General features: G+C 39.4%; 1 protein-coding gene across 6 annotated transcripts in view; it reads right to left on the reverse strand.

The window, feature by feature from the left end:
- The window catches only part of ATAD2B (ATPase family AAA domain containing 2B), a 249,155-nt gene that overhangs the window by 52,007 nt on the left and 179,205 nt on the right, over nt 1-17,943 (reverse strand). For 3 of the 6 annotated variants that reach the window (XM_011532920.4, XM_011532919.4, XM_011532918.4), the window contains one exon: nt 4,749-5,649. The exons of 2 other annotated variants lie outside the window; for them this stretch is intronic. In XM_011532920.4, coding sequence (XP_011531222.1) covers nt 5,491-5,649 — 159 coding nt within the window. In that variant the 3' untranslated portion in view covers nt 4,749-5,490. Of the gene's footprint in view, nt 1-1,403; nt 1,492-4,527; nt 4,614-4,748; nt 5,650-17,943 lie in introns of those variants that run through there. One more of the 6 variants, XM_047444799.1, reaches the window with a different exon arrangement.

The following is a 17,943-nucleotide window of genomic DNA, read 5'->3' on the forward strand; positions in this document are numbered from 1 at the left end:
GTAACTGGTATAAGTAGACAGAAAATCAGCAAGGATATGGAAGACCTGAACAACATGAGCAATCAATGTGATATAACTGCTACTAACAGAACACTCCACTCAATGACAACAGAATACACAGTTTTTTTTCAGGTGCATGTAAAAAAAATGCAGAATGCATTCACCAAGATAGATTGCATTCTGGATAACAAAACAAACCAGAATAAATTTAAATGAATTAAAATAATACATAGTATATTCTTTGACTATCACATAATTAAATGAGAAATTGTTAACACAAAATCTGAGAAATCCCAAATATTTAAAAATTAAACAATACACATCTAAATTATTCAGGGGTCAAAGAAGAAATCTCAAGGGAAAGTAGAAAATATTCTGAACAGAATGAAAATGAAAATACAACATGTCAGGCCGGGCACAGTGGCTCATGCCTGTAATCCCAGCACTTTGGGAGGCCGAGGCAGGCGGATCACAAGGTCAGGAGATCGAGACCATCCTGGCTAACATGGTGAAACCCCGTCTCTACTAAAAATACAAAAAATTAGCCGGGTGTGGTGGTGGGCACCTGTAGTCCCAGCTACTCAGGAGGCTGAGGCAGGAGAATGGCGTGAACCTGGGAGGTGGAGCTTGTAGTGAGCCGAGATCACACCACTGCACTCCAGCCCGGGTGACAGAGCAAGACTCCGTTTCAAAAAAAAAAAAAAAAAAAAAAAAAGGAAAGAAAATACAACATGTCAAAATGTATGGAACACAACATGTCAAAATGTATGGAATAGAAATTTTCAACATTAAATGTTTATATTAGAAAAGAAAGTTCTCAAACCAATAATCTAATCTTTCAGTTTAAGAATCTAAGCACAAAGCAAGCAGAAGTGTAGAAATCAGAAAATAAAAGTAACAATACCAAAAAAATCCTAGTTTTTTTGAAAAGATAAATAAAAAGAGACTGATCAAGAAAAAAAAAGAGAAGATACAAATTGCCAATATCAGGAACAAAAGAGGGGATATCACTACAGATGAAACAGAGATTACAAACTTACAAAGATTACTAGAGTTGTGTCAATAGGACTCGGGGCAATTTGAAAAGACTCTGACAGGACAAAAATGGAACCATTTTAGCAGTAATAAGCATCATAATAGCAATGCATTGTAATACATCAAATATATTTAAATCTATGAATTCATAATAATACCAAATTAACTCATCACCTTTGGATTGGTAAGGAAATAATTCATTAAATTCATTGAAAACTAGTTAATAAAGGCAAAGAATCTATCATTAATCTTACCTTTCCTATGTGACTTGCACTGTTAGATAAGCAGATAATAGACAAAGAAATATTTCTCTTGGTAGCATTTTCTACTAATAAATGAATAAGGAATAAGATTACATTAGAACTCACCATTCTGCAGGCTCTAATGTATTTAGGCATCAAATATCAGTCACTGATGACATCACAATAAGGAGGATAACCAGACTCTACGTGCCTCCTAATGAGAACACACAACCACTTATGAAGCAGTCTTGGAAAAACCAATAATAAATAAAATCAGAGTTAAGTCTCTAGATCAGTGCTGTCCAACAGAAATACAATGCCAGCCACACATATATTTAAATCTTCTAGTAGCTGCATTATCAATAGTAAAAATAACAAGGTGGAAATTATTTTTAATAAATGTAACCCAATATATCAAATATTATTTCAATGCAATCAATAAACTATTAAGGGCAGGGTGCAGTGGTTCATGCCTATAATCTTTTTGGGCTCAAGCACTTTGGGATTGAGGCCAGAAGTTCAAGACCAGCTTGGGCAATACAGTAAGACCCCACCTCTGTGAAAAATAAAAAAATTAGCTGGGCATTGGTGACATGTGCCTTTAGTCCTAGCTACTCAGGAGGCTAAGGCAGGAAAATCATTTGAGCCCAGAAGTTTGAGGTTACAGTGAGATACGACTGTATAACTACACTCCAGTCTGGGTGACAAAGCAAGACTGTCTCCTAGGGGGCAAAAAAAAAAAAACTCTTAATGAGATATTTCATATTATTTTTTGTAAAGAATCTTCAAAATTACTGTGCATTTTGACACAGCACATCTCAATTTGTACTAGCCACATTTTGAGTGCTCAATAGCTACCATATTGAACAGCACAGCTCTAGATCCAAGTACCAATTTATGAGAAATACAAAAGATAAATGAACATAGCCTCACCATAGGGATTCAATTGGCAAAATCCAGACTGTGGGAAATTCAATAGATCAAAACCTGGTTTCTTCAACAAATTAATGGCAAAGAAAAAGGAGAGACTGAGGGGGAATTTGTAGATTAAGAGATTTAAATGACAAAGGAGAAAAAAAACTGAAATGTGGTGTTTAGAAATGCACACAGGTGATAAAACTATACGAAAAGCAAAAAAGTCATTACCATAAATGTTAGGATGGTGGTTACATTTAGAGGAAAAAAGATTTCAATTGGAGTAGAGCACAGGCAGCACTTTTGGATTGTCTAACAATGTTATTTTCTGTACCTGAGTAGTGGTTACATCTTATAAATTCATGATTAACCTATACATTTGTTTCAAGCAGTTTTCCATGTATGCGTTATATTTTATAATAAAAAGGTGTTAATTCATAAATAAATATTTGATGGAAAAAATTGATGTTATTAGATATTAATTTCCTAAACTTCACAACAGCCCACTGTACCCCCAAACTTACCATCTCTATCTATACCCCCAGTTTCTGATCTGCTGGAATAAAATACTCTTATTCAAGACCAACACTCCTTCTAGTCTCTTTTGGAATCTTGACCCATTAATATCACTCCTCTTTCCCATCTTCAATCTCCATCTTTCTATCAAGGCAATATAGGACAGTGGTAAATAACTAGGCTCTTTTGTCAGAATCCCAGGGTTCAAATCCTGGTTATGCTATTTAACTAGCTGTCTCATCTTCAGCAAGTAAAAATCTCTCTGTGACTAGCTCTCCTCATTAGCAGAAGGGTGATAATAGTATCTAATTCATAGGGCCGATATCAAAATTAAAGGAGTTAACAGATGCAAAGCCCTTTAAAGAAGGCCTGGACATTTTCACTAAGTGTTAGTCGCTATCATTATTCTCACCACCCCTACCATCTCCATTCTCTCAATGTATGAACATGCTCAGTTTTTTCACTTTTATCAAAATCCTTTCCTAAACCCTGTGTCCCTGTCTAGTTATGTTCTCTCTCCTTCCCTTTTTCCTCAAAGCAACAAAGATCACCCAATTGCCACATCTCCTAGCAGCATTTTAGTACCTATCTTACTGACCTGCACTGGAGCATTTGATACTGTTGTCCATTTTGAACATAAAATCGTCTCCTCAAGTTCCGTGACCCCACTGTTTTGGCTGTCCCACTTTTGAGAAGGTATGATTAGTCTCAATTGCTAGACACCCTCTACCTGCTGCTTAAACTTTGCTGTTTCTCTATTTGCCATTTTCATTTCACTTCAAAAGCTGCCTAAGTGATCTGATTCGTGCTCATGGTTTGAACAATCATTTATAGGTAGCTAACCTTAAAAGCCTCCAGTTCTGAACCCTCTTCAAGCTTTAGATATATTTATCTAAATGTGTGCTGCACCTGGATGCCAAAATGTCCAATACTGTGTTCACTACAGATTGGGTCCTCCCTCTCAAATTCATTCTCAGTTAACATCCAATCACCCAGGCAGAAACCTAAGAGCAATTCCAGGCCCCTTCTTTACCCTCATCCCCAACATCCAATCACTGAATCCTACTGATTCTACCTCTAAATTTCCTAGAAATGATCTCTTTCTCACCATCCCTACTATACCTTCCCCAGTCCCGGCCTATAGCATCTCTCACCTGGAATATAGGAACAATATCTAAAGTCTTTACTGACCTCTAATGCTACTTTCTTCCTTACTTTGCTTTATTCTAAAGTACACAGAAACACCCATAGTTGCCTAAACTTGTTTGCCTGTTTCTATGCCTTTCTACTGTTTCCCCTGCCTGGGGTGTTCTTCCCTGATTTTTATTGCATTCTTTCATTTTTTGAGATGCCGTTAAGATAACTTATCCTCAGGGGGGAAAAAAGCCTTCCATGCATTACTAGGTTGGGTCAAGTTCCTGTATTAGTCTGTTTTCACATTGCTATAAGAGAATTACCCGATACTGGGTAACTTATTTATTTATTTATTTTTGAGACAGAGTCTCGCTCGTCACCCAGGCTGGATTGCAGTGGCGCAATCTCAGCTCACTGCAACCTCCACCTCCCAGGTTCAAGTGATTCTCCTCCCTCAGTCTCCCGAGTAGCTGGGACTACAGGCACGTGTCACCACGCCTGGCTAATTTTTTTGCATTTTTTAGTAGAGATGGGGTTTTACCATGTTGCCCAGGCTGGTCTCGAACTCCTGACCTCAAGTGATCTGCCCACTTTGGCCTCCCAAAGTGCTGGGATTACATGTGTGAGCCATCGTACCCAGTCAATACTGGGTAATTTAAAAAGAAAAGAGGTTTGACTGACTCACAGTTCTGCAGGCTGTACAGGAAGCATGGCTGCGGAGGCCTCAGGAAACTTACAAACATGGCAAAGATGCAGGGGAAGTAGGCACGTCTTACATGGGCAGAGAAGGAGGAAGAGAGAGATAAGTGGGAGGTGCTACATGCTTTTAAACAACCAGATCTTGTGGGAATTCATTCACTATCATGAGAACAGCAAGGGGGAAGTCTGCCTCCATGTTCCAATCACCTCCCACCAGGTCCCTCCTCCAATGCTGGGGATTACAATTCAACATGAGATGTGGGTGGGGACACAGACCCAAACCCTATCAGTTCCTCTCCTCTATCTCCCACAGCACCTCAACTAAACCATTATCATTGTATTTAACCAAATTTATTCTTAATTTTTCTTAATATGTCTTTTACTGAACAGTTATTTCCAAGGGCAGACACTGTGTTTTACTTAGCTTTGTAACTTCAGTGTCTATCATACTTGGCAAATGGTAGGTAGTTACTATATCTTGTTGAAAGGAAGTCATTACTTTCCATTTCACATATTACTGCCAAATTAATATTTCTAAAATTCTATTTTCATGTCATGGTACTGTTCAAAAACATTGTCACATGATAAAGTACAAATATCTTTACACTTGTCCTCCATAATAAGACCCCAAACTACCTATACAGCATTATCTTCCACCATACTCCCTTGTATTTACCCTTGATTTTAATTAAACTGGTCTACTCAGTTTTCCAAACTGACTTTTTGACCTCTAACTCTTCAAACCATTACAACTCATAAAAATGTTGGCCCTTTAAACTCAATACTTACTTAGCAACTTACTAGCAATTAATCTATGATGCTATATGATATTAAAAGCATTGTTGTGATGCACACCTGAATGGAACGGTCACTAATAACTTCCATATCATCAGTAGATGAGTGGTAGGAAAAAGGCCTAGATAACTTTTTGTTCAACTTATAAAAGATATCACAAATGCAAGAAAAACATTAAACTTTTATTTTCCATTTTACCCACCTTTTTCCTCCACTCTCGCCTTCTTTTACCTTCCATGGCTTGAAGCTCATCAGGGAGGAGAAGAAAAGGACTAGCTGGCACAGAATTTCTTTCCCTGAAGCTGTGCTTCATCTGTTAATCAAAATACTAACTTGAAAAGATTCTAAACAACCAGAATTCCAGTAAGAAGGAGAAACTTCAGTACGAAAATCAGGATGTCTTATGACGCAAGTGGTCCTATACAGACCAATCATTTGTTTCTGGAACAAGAGGTGCTGTCAGGAAAACAGTTGGCATTAAGTCAAGGAAAGGTGAAAGAAAGCCCAACTCCATCACCTCCAAGCACTCTGAAGGTAACTCTTGCTCCTGTAAAGGAGGAGGGGACCATCTGTGCAAAATCTTGCAAAGAACTCTTTAATTCCCTCTGAATTCTTCTATCTAATATACTGGCCTAATGGAAGGAAAATAAGGGTAGGAGGGCAAAGGTAGGAGAGAACAAAAGGATTACATCTAAGTATTCAAAAATCTCAAAATCATTTGTAAAAATAACACAACACTAAGCATTCCCACTGAGAGGCTTCTATTGTGATAATCAAGCAAACTAGAAAGTTTCAGGGTCAGTTCTGAAAATAGAGAATACTATTAAAGTAGCCAATATTTATGTAACTTTGCATTAATTATTTCTCATCTATACAACTCTGTCAGCTGATCTAGCTGAACAGTTCCATAAAGGAACCCCCCCCATTGTTACTATTTTCAGCATTCTTCCCTTGGGTTGGTTTTATTTCCCAGGGAAGACTCTGCTCTCTCCTAACTGGAGATTTTTGCCTTCTGGAAAGCAGGTTTTTAGTCCCCCACTCTTAAATAGGAGCAGATAGCAAGGAATTACCAAATATTTGAGGAAAACTTGTAATACTAAACAGGAACCAAAACAAACAGGAAAAGCAACTTGGAGGAAAAAGAGACTATGCAAGGAAAAGAAAAACAAAGAAAAAATCATCATGAATACCCTCACAGAGATGAGCTGATCTTGTACCCATGAAACAAAAACAAAATGCTACTTAAAAAATCAAGAGAAGATGGCCAAATAAGAACAGCTCCGGTCTACAGCTCCCAGCGTGAGCAATGCAGAAGATGGGTGGTTTCTGCATTTCCAACTGAGGTACCAGGTTCATCTCACTGGGGAGTGCCAGACAGTAGGTGCAAGACAGTGGGTGCAGCCTACCGTGCGCGAGCCGAAGCAGGGTGAGACACCACCTCACCCAGGAAGTGCAAGGGGTCAGGGAATTCCCTTTCCTAGTCAAAGAAAGGGGTGACAGACAGCACCTGGAAAATCGGATCACTCCCACCCTAATACTGCGCTTTTCCAACGGGCTTAAAAAAGGTCACACCAGGAGATTATATCCCGCACCTGGCTCGGAGGGTCCTATGCCCAAGGAGTCTCCCTCATTGCTAGCACAGCGGTCCCAGATCACACTGCAAGGCAGCAGCGAGGCTGGGGGAGGGGCGCCTGCATTGCTGAGTTAGTTGTTTGATTAGGTAAACAAAGCAGCCTGGAAGCTCGAACTGGATGGAGCCCACCACAGCTAAAGGAGGCCTGCCTGCCTCTGTAGGCTCCACCTCTGGGGGCAGGGCACAGACAAACAAAAAGACAGCAGTAACCTCTGCAGACTTAAATGTCCCTCTTTGACACCTTTGAAGAGAGTAGTGGTTCTCCAAGCACACAGCTTGAGATCTGAGAACGGGCAGACTGCCTCCTCAAGTGGGTCCCTGACCCCCGAGTACCCTAACTGGGAGGCACTCCCAGTAGGAGCGGACTGACACCTCACACGGCTTGATACTCCTCTGAGACAAAACTTCCAGAGGAACGATCAGGCAGCAGCATTTGCGGTTCACCAATATCCACTCTTCTGCAGCCACCGCTGCTGACACCAAGGCAAACAGAGTCTGGAGTGGACCTCTAGCAAACTCCAACAGACCTGCAGCTGAGGGTCCTCTCTGTTAGAAGGAAAACTAACAAACAGAAAGGACATCCACACCAAAAACCCATCTGTACGTCACCACCTTCAAAGACCAAAAGTAGATAAAACCACAAAGATGGGGGAAAAAACAGAGCAGGAAAACTGGAAACTCTAAAAATCAGAGCACCTCTCCTCCTCCAAAGGAACGCAGCTCCTCACTAGCAACGGAACAAAGCTGGACGCAGAATGACTTTGACAAGTTGAGAGAAGAAGGTTTCAGACGATCAAACTACTCCGAGCTACAGGAGGAAATTCAAACCAATGGCAAAGAAGTTAAAAGGCTTTGAAAAAAAATTAGATGAATGGATAACTAGAATAACCAATGCAGAGAAGTCCTTAAAGGACCTGATGGAGCTGAAAACCAAGGCACGAGAGCTACGTGACGAATGCAGAAGCCTCAGTAGCCGATGCGATAAACTGGAAGAAAGGGTATCAGTGATGGAAGACGAAATGAATGAAATGAAGCGAGAAGAGAAGTTTAGAGAAAAAAGAATAAAAAGAAACGAACAAAGCCTCCAAGAAATATGGGACTATGTGAAAAGACCAAATCTACATCTGATTGGTGTACCTGAAAGTGACGGGGAGAATGGAACCAAGTTGGAAAACACTCTGTAGGATATTATCCAAGAGAAGTTCCCCAATCTAGCAAGGCAGGCCAACATTCAGATTCAGGAAATACAGAGAATGCCACAAAGATAGTCCTTGAGAAGAGCAACTCCAAGACACATAATTGTCAGATTCACCAAAGTTGAAATGAAGAAACAAATGTTCAGGGCAGCCAGAGAGAAAGGTCAGGTTACCCACAAAGGGAAGCCCATCAGACTAACAGCTGATCTCTCTGCAGAAACTCTACCAGCCAGAAGAGAGTGGGGACCAATATTCAACATTCTTAAAGAAAAGAATTTTCAACCCAGAATTTCATATCCAGCCAAACTAAGCTTCATAAGTGAAGGAGAAATAAAACACTTTACAGACAAGCAAATGCTGAGAGATTTTGTCACCACCAGCCCTGCCCTAAAAGAGCTCCTGAAGGAAGCACTAAACATGGAAAGGAACAACTGGTACCAGCCACTGCAAAAACATGCCAAATTGTAAAGAGCATCAAGGCTAGGAAGAAACTGCATCAACTAACGGGCAAAATAATCAGCTAACATCATAATGACAGGATCAAATTCACACATAACAATATTAACTTTAAATGTAAATGGGCTAAATGCTCCAATTAAAAGACACAGACTGGCAAATTGGATAAAGAGTCAAGACCCATCATTGTGCTATATTCAGGAAACCCATCTCACGTGCAGAGACACACATAGGCTCAAAATAAAGGGATGGAGGAAGATCTACCAAGCAAATGGAAAACAAAAAAAGGCAGGGGTTGCAATCCTAGTCTCTGATAAAACAGACTTTAAACCAACAAAGATCAAAAGAGACAAAGAAGGCCATTACATAATGATAAAGGGATCAATTCAACAAGAAGAACTAACTATCCTAAATATATATGCACCCAATACAGGAGCACCCAGATTCATAAAGCAAGTCCTTAATGACCTACAAAGAGACTTACACTCCCACCCAATAATAATGGGAGACTTTAACACCCCACTGTCAACATTAGACAGATCAACGAGACAGGAAGTTAACAAGGATACCCAGGAATTGAACTCAGCTCTGCACCAAGTGGACCTAATAGACATCTACAGAACTCTCCACCCCAAATCAACAGAATATACATTCTTTTCAGCACCACACTACACCTACTCCAAAATTGACCACATAGTTGGAAGTAAAGCACTCCTCAGCAAATGTAAAAGAACAGAAATTATAACAAACTGTCTCTCAGACCACAGTGCAATCAAACTAGAACTCAGGATTAAGAAACTCACTCAAAACCACTCAACTACATGGAAACTGAACAACCTGCTCCTGAATGACTACTGGGTAAATAATGAAGTGAAGGCAGAAATAAAGATGTTCTTTGAAACCAACGAGAACAAAGACACAACATACCAGAATCTCTGGGACACATTCAAAGCAGTGTGTAGAGGGAAATTTATAGCACTAAATGCCCACAAGAGAAAGCAGGAAAGATCTAAAATTGACACCCTAACATCACAATTAAAAGAACTAGAAAAGCGAGAGCAAACACATTCAAAAGCTAGCAGAAGGCAAGAAATAACTAAGATCAGAGCATAACTGAAGGAAACAGAGACACAAAAAGCCCTTCAAAACATTAATGAATCCAGGAGCTGGTTTTTTGAAAAGATCAACAAAATTGATAGACCACTAGCAAGACTAATAAAGAAGAAAAGAGAGAAGAATCAAATAGATGCAATAAAAAATGATAAAGGGGATATCACCACCAATCCCACAGAAATACAAACTACCATCAGAGAATATTATAAACACCTCTACGCAAATAAACTAGAAAATCTAGAAGAAATGGATAAATTCCTCGACACATACATCCTCCCAAGACTAAACCAGGAAGAAGTTGAACCTCTGAATAGACCAATAACAGGCTCTGAAATTGAGGAAATAATCAATAGCTTACCAACCAAAAAAACTCCAGGACCAGATGGATTCACAGCCGAATTCTACCAGAGGTACAAAGAGGAGCTGGTACCAATCCTTCTGAAACTATTCCAATCAATAGAAAAAGAGGGAATCCTCCCTAACTCATTTTATGAGGCCAGCATCATCCTGATACCAAAGCCTGACAGAGACACAACCAAAAAAGAGAATTTCAGACCAATATCCCTGATGAACATCGATGTAAAAATCCTCAATAAAATACTGGCAAACCGAATCCAGCAGCACATCAAAAAGCTTATCCACCATGATCAAGTGGGCTTCATCCCTGGGATGCAAGGCTGGTTCAACATACGCAAATCAATAAATGTAATCCAGCATATAAACAGAACCAAAGACAAAAACCACATGATTATCTCAATAGATGCAGAAAAGGCCTTTGACAAAATTCAACAACCCTTCATGCTAAAAACTCTCAATAAATTAGGTATTGATGGGACGTATCTCAAAATAATAAGAGCTATCTATGACAAACCCACAGCCGATATCATACTGAATGGGCAAAAACTGGAAGCATTCTCTTTGAAAACTGGCACAAGACAGGGATGCCCTCTCTCACCACTCCTATTCAACATAGTGTTGGAAGTTCTGGCCAGGGCAGTCAGGCAGGAGAAGGAAATAAAGGGCATTCGATTAGGAAAAGAGGAAGTCAAATTGTCCCTGCTTGCAGATGACATGATTGTATATCTAGAAAACCCCATCGTCTCAGCCCCAAATCTCCTCAAGCTGATAAGCAACTTCAGCAAAGTCTCAGGATACAAAAATCAATGTACAAAAATCACAAGCACTCTTATACACCAATAACAGACAAACAGAGGCCAAATCATGAGTGAACTCCCATTCACAATTGCTTCAAAGAGAATAAAATACCTAGGAATCCAACTTACAAGGGATGTGAAGGACCTCTTCAAGAAGAACTACAAACCACTGCTCAATGAAATAAAAGAGGATACAAACAAGTGGAAGAACATTCCATGCTCATGGGTAGGAAGAATCAATATCGTGAAAATGGCCATACTGCCCAAGGTAATTTATAGATTCAATGCCATCCCAATCAAGCTACCAATGACTTTCTTCACAGAATTGGAAAAAACTACTTTAAAGTTCATATGGAACCAAAAAAGAGCCTGCATCGCCAAGTCAATCCTAAACCAAAAGAACAAAGCTGGAGGCATCATGCTACCTGACTTCAAACTATACTACAAGGCTACAGGAACCAAAACAGCATGGTACTGGTACCAAAACAGAGATATAGATCAATGGAACAGAACACAGCCCTCAGAAATAATGCCACATATCTACAACTATCTGATCTTTGACAAACCTGACAAAAACAAGAAATGGGGAAAGGATTCCCTATTTAATAAATGGTGCTGGGAAAACTGGCTAGCCATATGTAGAAAGCTGAAACTGGATCCCTTCCTTACACCTTATACAAAAATTAATTCAAGATGGATTAAAGACTTAAACGTTAGCCCTAAAACCATAAAAACCCTAGAAGAAAACCTAGGCAATACCATTCAGGACATAGGCATGGGCAAGGACGTCATGTCTAAAACACCAAAAGCAATGGCAACAAAAGCCAAAATTGACAAATGGGATCTAATTAAACTAAAGAGCTTCTGCACAGCAAAAGAAACGACCATCAGAGTGAACAGGCAACCTACAGAATGGGAGAAAATTTTTGCAACCTACTCATCTGACAAAGGGCTAATATTCAGAATCTACAATGAACTCAAACAAATTTACAAGAAAAAAACAAACAACCTCATCAAAAAGTGGGCGAAGAACATGAACAGACACTTCTCAAAAGAAGACATTTATGCAGCCAAAAAACACATGAAAAAATGCTCATCATCACTGGCCATCAGAGAAATGCAAATCAAAACCACAATGAGATACCATCTCACACCAGTTGGAATGGCAATCATTAAAAAGTCAGGAAACAACAGGTGCTGGAGAGGATGTGGAGAAATAGGAACACTTTTACACTGTTGGTGGGACTGTAAACTAGTTCAACCATTGTGGAAGTCAGTGTGGCGATTCCTCAGGGACCTAGAACTAGCAATACCATTTGACCCAGTCATCCCATTACTGGGTATATACCCAAAGGATTATAAATCATGCTGCTATAAAGACACATGCACATGTATGTTTACAGCGGCACTATTCACAATAGCAAAGACTTGGAACCAACCTAAATGTCCAACAACGATAGACTGGATTAAGAAAATGTGGCACATATACACCATGGAATACTATGCAGCCATAAAAAATGATGAGTTCATGTCCTTTGTAGGGACATGGATGAAACTGGAAACTATCATTCTCAGCAAACCATCGCAAGGACAAAAAACCAAACACCACATGTTCTCACTCATAGGTGGGAATTGAACAATGATAACACATGGACACAGGAAGGGGAACATCACACACCAGGGACAGTTGTGGGGTGGGGGGAGGGGGGAGGGATAGCATTAGGAGATATACCTAATGATAAATGACGAGTTAATGGGTGCAGCACACCAACATGGCACATGTATACATATGTAAGAAACCTGCATGTTGTGCACATGTACCCTAAAACTTGAAGTATAATAATAAAATACAAATTTTAAAAAGTGGAACAATAAAAAAAAAATCAAGAGAACTCCAAATGGCTCTTAAAAACTAAATACCAAAGTAAAAATTAAGAAGGAATAACAGAACTGTAGAAAGGCCAAGATCTGAATAACAGTAGTTCTAAAAGTGAAAAATTCACTCAAGAAAATTTCTCAGACTAAAAGGACATGATTTTCCAGAGTAGAGAGGCCTAAGAAAAGTGTAACATTTAGACACACACCCAGACAGGTCTGTGAAATTCCAGAGCATCAGAGGAAAACTGAAAATTACGAAAGCCTTAGGAGAAGGAAACAAAATCAGGAAAACAAAACAATAAGCAGAAAAGCACCGACTTCTCAGCAGCAATACAGGATATAAATGAGAAAAGTCCAGATATAAGATTCAGTGCAAGAGAAAGGTGAAGGATGTTCGCCCAAAAAAAAAAAAAAATGACTATGCAAGACCTTGGTGTACACCAATGCAAAATTGGAAAGGGTTAGAATGTTCCAGGAGAAATTTTCTCAAGAAAATGAAATGCTATAATACCTTACATGTTTGGTGATACTAACAAGAGTTGGGGCCAGGCGCAGTAGCTCATGCCTGTAATCCCAGCACTTTGGGAGGCCGAGGCAGGTGGATCATTTGAGGTCAGGAGTTCGAGACCAGCCTGACCAACACGGTGAAACCCCATCTCTGCGAAATAAAAATAAATAATGCATGGTGGCGCATGCCTGTAATCCCAGCTGCTTGGGAGACTGAGGCAGGAGAATCGCTCGAACCCGGGAGGTGGAGGTTACAGTGAGCCGACATTACACCACTGCACTCCAGCCTGGGCAACAGAGCGAAAATCCGACTCAAAAAAAAAAAAAAAAGAGAGAGAGAGTTGGATTGCTGGGGATGAACTGAGGAACAAACTAGTTTTTAAAATTGTTTTTTTGAGACAGGGTGTCACTCTGTCACTCAGGCTGGAGTGCAGGTGCTGCGATCTTGGGTCACTGAAGCCTCAAACTCCCAAGCTCAAGTGGTCCTCCCATCTCAGCCTCCTGAGTGGCTGAGACTATGATGCATGCCACCAAGCCTGGCTAATTTTTTAATTTTTCTGTAGAGACAGGGTCTCATTATGTTACCCAGGCTGGTCTTGAACTCCTGGGCTCAAGGATCCTTCTGCCTCAGCCTCCCAAAATGCTGGGAATAAAGGCGTGCTGGGTTCAAACTCATGATTATACATAAAAAAACAGGTAAATAAATACAATGAAGACTATTATTAACAAAAAGGTGTACAAGAAAGGAAACATCATCATAGTACACTAAATAGTTCCACTGTCAATAATTTTTACATAGACACAATAATGCAAATACTGAATAATGATCTGACCAAAATTATAAACAACTGGGAGGACGAGAGGACAAGAAGTGTGAAACGTGTGGTGAGGGCAGATATTACTATATTTTAAATGGTGGGAAATCAAAAGAAAATGACTAAAACTGGAAAATAAAAAGTAGCCATCTAAGAATAGTATTTAGAAACATCAAATAATCAGCTACAGGTGTTGAAAACAATTGGCTCCTGGGAGAATTTTTTTTTTTTTTTGGAGAAGGAGGGTTCTAGAATCAGGGAACTGCTGTTTTTTATAACAAGCCTTCTAGAACTACTTCATTCTTTAAACTACATACATGTGTTTCTGACTTTAAAATATATAAATTTTAAAGATATTAATCCCATTTATAGACATTTTTAAACCCACAAAACAATGTTTATAGACACATACAAATGTTTAGAAAGATGACTGAAATTTCTTGAACACTTACTATGTGCCTGGTACTGTTCTAAGTGCTTTACATATATTCACTCAAATATGTAATCATTGCAGTAACCACCATGGGGTTGGTGCTATCACTGTGGCCCATCTTATGGATAAGTACACTGACCTGCAGAGGGGTGAAATAATTTGTCACATGTTGCATAGCCAAGAAGGAACATAACCAGGATTCAAATTCAGACAGTCTGACTCCAGCCGCATACTATTACCTTCTCAAATAAAATAATTTAAAACACAGACAGGATATTCGTCAAAATCATCACAGTGGCTGCCACCAGTAAAGAAAGAAAACGAATGGGATTGGGAATGGGTAGAAAGTAGACTTAAATCTTCTCTGAAATTTTTTCTTTTCAAAAAAGAACTAAAACAAGTATGACAAATTGTTAACATTTAATACTGGGTGGTAGGAACATGCATGTTGTATTATTCTCTGTGGTATTCTACTATTTAAAAATGTTTATTCCTAGAAAAACTTGAGGCCAGGCACGGTTGCTCACGCTTGTAATCCCAGCACTTTGGGAGGCCAAGGCGGGCAGATCACCTGAGGTCAGGAGTTCAAGACCAGCCTGGCCAACATGGTGAAACCCCCGTCCCTACAAAAAGTACAAAAATTAGCCAGGGGTGGTGGCACATGCCTCTAATCCCAGCTACCCACGAGGCTGAGGCAGGAGAATCGCTGGAACCTGAGAGGCAGAGGCGGCAGTGAGCCAAGATCGTGTTACTGCACTCCAGTCTGGGCAACACAACCAGACTCCACAGCAAGCAAGCAAGCACGCACGCAAGAAAGAAAGCAAGCGAGAAAGAGAGAAAGAGACAGAGAGGGATGGAAGGAAGGAAGGAAAGAAGGAAGGAAGGAAGGAAGGAAGGAAGGAAGGAAGGAAGGAAGGAAGGAAGGAAAGGGAAGGGAAGGGAAGGGAAGGGAAGGGAAGGAAGGAAAGGAAGGAAGGAAGGAAGACTTGAATACAAGCAAAGGAATTTACCATTCACCTTAATGATTGATGGGTTAAAAATTCAATCTCTAAAGCCACACCACAAGATAGGACCCCCCAACCTGATGTTAGCTGTGTAACCTTGGGCAAGTCACCTAAGCATTCTCTATTTCAGTTTCCCCTTCTCTTAAATGGGACCAACAACAGTACCTACCTCCCACAGTTGCTGTGATAATTAAATGGTTAATGCTTGTAATAATACCTGGCACTCAGTTGTCTGCTGCTACTAATACTACTGCTGTATTTATTGTCATCCAAGCATTTACCACTGTTAGGTAACATGTTGTTTGTTTACTCTTTGCTGACTAGACTGTAAGCTCCAAAAAGCAAGGACCTTGCTGTCCTGTCTTCAGCTGTTAACTCCCTTGCCAAGAACAGTGCTCTGGCACTTGCTTTATTTGGCAGTTGCTCAAATAAATCTGTGAAACAGATGTTGACCTGTGATGACAGAGAACTGCCTGTACTTTCCCCTGCAGCTGTCATGCTATTTCACTTCTCAGCCTATGCTTCTGTTGTTCCTTCTGCCTGGAAATCCTTTCCCACCTTGATGCCTCAGCTCAGGCAAGGAACCAGAAAGGCTTCCTTGAGGTTAGGTTACATGCTCCTCCTCTGTATACCTACAGTGCCTAATATAAAATTCAATCTTAACACATGCCGTATTAGACTGAAATGATGTTTGTTATCTGTCTACCCCCACAAGAAGCAGTCAAGCATAGTGATTAAAAGCATCAACTCTGGAGCCAAACTGCCTACATTTGAATCCTGGATGTGTGACCTTGAGCAAATTAATCTATAACTCAGTTTCCTGATCTGTAAAATGGGGATAATAATAGCACCTATCTCATAAGGTTCTTGTAAAGATGAAAAGAATTTGCATTTGTGTCTGTATAGCACTCAGAATAGTCTCCAGCACCTAGTAAACGTGATATAAGTATGTTAAATTATAAAAATGTCCTTGAAGACAGACACAATGTCTTGCTCATCTTTATGCTCCCTCAATGCCTAGCACTCTGTAGGCACTGAATAAATGCTTAAATGTTTACTGAACTGACAGCTATTACACTAGTCCAAACAAAAGGATTAGTGCCCAAACTAAGATAACAGGAATGGAGAAAGGGTGATAGGTATGAGACATGCTTAGGGGGAAAATAAATCAACAGAATGTGCTGCATGATTAGAATGAGATGGGTCATAAAGAAGATAAAGTTCAGGTTGACAGCTAGGTTTCTCACCAAGATAGGGAATATAAGGGAAGCAAGAAGGAAAAAGCAGAGTTCCTGGCAAATTTTTAATAACAAAATGCTTCATTCACTGCTTAATGAAATTTAAAAGTGCTTTAAGAGCTTTTAAGAGCACCACACTTTTAAAAAATAATGTGAACTCTGATCAACCATGACAGAAACCTGGCACACAACATCAGAAAGAATTTAAGCTCCATGAAGACACGGACTTTTTCTGTTTAGTTTGCTGCTTTATTTCTAGCACCTGCAACAGTGCCTGATACATGGTAGGCACTTGTTATGTATTTTATAAATGAATGAAAAAATGATTAAGGTAAATTTGTGCCTTCTATGTCATGCAAATCTAAAGGAATTAAATAAGCATCTACTGAATCCTGCACTGCTTCAAATTCCTATAGGGAATACAGAAGAAATATAATACTTTTCTATCTCCCCTTCCCTCATGAATAAATTACTGTTTTATAAATTATATTTACATAGTAACTTACTATGTAATGCAGTACAAAACATAGCTAATTTCTGAAGAAAGATCAGCATACGCCATATATATACATATGTGTAATATATATATATTACACATACATACATAGTATGTATATTATATATATAATACTATACAGCCCTGAAATATGGGCAGGGTTTAGATTCTGTAACAATACATCTGATGTAATATGAAAGGTCACACACACAAAAAAACAAGAACAAACTTTGGTAAAGTGGGGATCGACTCTAGAAAAGCCAGATAGAGATGAAGAGCAAATATAATGCCAACTTTCTCTGAAGTCTTTCCTTATTTCCCCCATTCCTAAACATAATTAATTGGTTCCCTTCCCAGAACTCTGAACGTTATTGTGTCCCTTCTGTTAAAGCACTTATTCCACTGAATCATTACTACTGGTATATATACCAATTCCCCTGGCAGACTCTAAGCTACCTGAGAACAGGAATATGTTATTTGTGTATCCCACATGCCTGGCATAATGTCAGGCACATAACAAACATATACATGTGGGGGTAAAAGAGGGAATGTATATATTTTTAAACAGTCACTAGATAACTTTGTAGGTGTCAGGGTACAGGGATAACATGAAATAGATTTAAAGATTTGCCTCAGATTTTACTGTAGTTTTGAGTCTTATGGAAACTAAAACTAGATAAATAA

The sequence above is a fragment of the Homo sapiens genome, chromosome 2 (assembly GCF_000001405.40).
Source record: "Homo sapiens chromosome 2, GRCh38.p14 Primary Assembly".
In the NCBI taxonomy this organism is placed as follows: Eukaryota; Metazoa; Chordata; class Mammalia; order Primates; family Hominidae; genus Homo; species Homo sapiens.